Source organism: Homo sapiens, chromosome 2 (genome assembly GCF_000001405.40).
Source record: "Homo sapiens chromosome 2, GRCh38.p14 Primary Assembly".
Taxonomy (NCBI): Eukaryota; Metazoa; Chordata; class Mammalia; order Primates; family Hominidae; genus Homo; species Homo sapiens.
In genome coordinates this window covers 92056565-92059521 of record NC_000002.12, presented here as the reverse complement: position 1 = coordinate 92059521, position 2957 = coordinate 92056565, and positions in this window count along the sequence as shown.

Here is a 2957-nt window from a genome sequence, read left to right as displayed (position 1 = left end):
AATTCACTTATGAATTCACAATATACAGTTTCATTAGTATAATTTAAAATTTTTAAATAATTTCCAAGATTCATTTAAAGGAATATACATGTACACAAGCAGTCAAGAAAGAAGCAAGAGTGCACTAAACTAACTTGCTATTAAAATACATTTTTAAACATAGTAACTAAAACTGAGCAGTACTGATTTGGAGTACTGGAATTTAGGTATATGGGATCTCAAAAGCGCAGAGCTCAAAGGAGACCCCTGTATGCACGGGAGATTAGGATGTGCTTTAGAAGGCATTACCAAACCACGGGCAAAGTTACTTTAGTGTCTTAGTCTTACTAGGTTTGAAAAGCCACAGAAAAGACTCAAGACCACCATATAGGAACAAAACAAAAGGACAGGGAGAGAATGTGAAGATACTGAAACATTTTACATAAAGTTGTATAAAACATCCTTTAAAGAAAATATAAAGTTTAGGATATACATCAAAATCAGCAGAGCCACTAAATAAATAAATAGGCATTGTAAAATAGCAAGAGAAAATTTAAATGGGTTTCTAAAAAATATTGACACCTATGATTTTTAAAATATGTTTAAGAAATCCCGTATTTTACAGGGCAGCCTTTCACAACGCAGATATGTTAGGACATAAAGGTCCTTCTGTTTTTAATTTACTAGTGTTTATAGGGTTACAAATGTCTTCTACCCTTGTCTTTTGTCTGATGGTGCAAAAAATTTTCATAAGCATGTATTTCTGAATGCCTGATGGATTGACATATATAATATGCTGCTAGTATTAAAATATGTGACGGAAAAGGCATCCAATCTTCTCACTGTTTACATAAATTCTAGGTTTCTCCTATTTACCTCAAGCACGTATGGAGCGAATTCTTACCTTTTAATATTGCCATGGCATTCACATTGAACATAAGTTGAACTCTCTCATATGGTAGCTGGGTTCAGATTCCCTTGACAATTTCCAGTTCTAACCCTCACAGTTCCTCAGTGTGGCTGGCCCAGATATTGACCCTACACAGTTGCCTCCCTCCTGGTGACTACCAGCTATGGAACCGTTGGATACAACCTACCTGACTCACCCCACAGACCTCACAGCGCACATGGACAGCCCCCACACGCCAGAGTGACCTGCTCGGTTGCAGCGGGAGTCAAGAAATGTGCCTGCTGGCACTCACCCCACCGACTAGTGCCCCGTGGAAAACTTATTTGGGTAATGTTCTGGGCCCAATAAAAGCTAGAGTCCCACAGACCCCTTTTCTCTCTCCTGCTCCCCACTCATCTTCCCCATTTTGTTCAGCCCTATGAGGTGTGCTACTGTATTAGTCCATTTTCACACCACCGGTAAAGACATGCCCAAGACTGGGTAATTTCTAGAAGAAAGAGGTTTAATACATGCACAGTTCCACATGGCTGGGTAGGCCTCACAATCATGGCGCAAGGTGAAAGGCACGTCTCACATGGCAGCAGACAAGACAAGAGAGCTTGTGCAGGGAAACTCCTCTTTATAAAACCATCAGATCTTGTGAGACTTATTCACTATCAGAAGAACAGCATGGGAAATACCTGCCCCCATGATTCAATTACCTCCCACCTGTTCCCTCCCACAACATGTGGGAATTCAAGATGAGATTTGGCTGGGGACACAGCTAAACCCTCTCCTCAGCTACCCTCTTCTCTCTGGATCTGTGAGTAATAAACCTACTTCTGTGATTTCCCATGTTTGGTTCTGTGGCCTCCATGTGTCTGAGCTGACCTACACTGGAACCTAACTCTCCTCCTGGCCAGGGTCTCTGAGAGTGGCTCTTGTCAGAAATACACAGGACACAGGTCAGGCAACAGTCACCAGGCATCTCCTAGTCTCAACAGATGTTCTGTGAGAGGGAGGCCTGGTCGTGGGATGCACACCTGGCCACTGCTGGGGTAAGGAAGTGTCCTGTGAAAGGCACATGTTAAGCATCCACAACCCCCTGACCAGAACCCCAGAAAGGCAGGGCTCCAATTGATGGTCACTCTCCAGAGACAAACCTCAAGCCCTAACTGGAGGAAAAGAAAACAATGTAAAAGTTGAATTTATCTTACTATTTCAATGATCCAGTAAAGACATTCTATGCCTGTACACCACATATTTTCTTCGATTGTGGATTTATTTTAGATAGAATTGTAGGTCTGGCTTTCACTTTAGCCTGGTCCCTACCTCAAGCATAAGGTAAAGATTTTCCATGGGTTCTTTTCTGGTACTACTACCTGCCAGTGTGGGGTCATGTCCTAGTCTATCTTGAGGGAATCCCCCTGTTCATTATTGTCAGAGTGAGACTGTTAAGTCTTGATTTCCCTGGACAACTTCACTGCATGACTTTTAATATGATTTTTTAATATACCCTTTACTGGACAATAAATTATATAGTTATCTGAGTAAGAGATATGGTCAGGAAGAGGCATTGCCTCATTCACCTTTTCTCTTTGGTGAACTCGCATATGTTCTCCTCACCCGCCAGTCACCTCTAAACCGTATTGTTCCAAGACAACAAACAGAACTCGAGTGTGTATCTTTCACCACTGGATTTGTGTTTGCTCCATAAAGCTTCGTGCTTAATAGGGTTTCTGTTAGCATTTTCTCTATTTATTTTCCCATAAAATATCACAGGCCTTCTTCATATGGAATTATGGGTGATTTCCTTCAATCTGCATCATATCAAGTTGAGGTTCATGTTGATGAAAAGTAAAACATACGTTGAAAATATCAGTAAGGATGTTTTCCCCTCCTTTTTAGCACCTGTGCTTGTGATACAAGCACATTTTAATACAATTGTAGTCTCATGCTTTGATCATTCCTATGATGAAAATAACATTTTTAGATAAAATATCTGAGTTTTATGAGGCCTTTAGTATGTGAAGTGATAGAATATCAGAAGACCATACTTTTTTCTAGTTTTCCGTGCAATTCTATCACT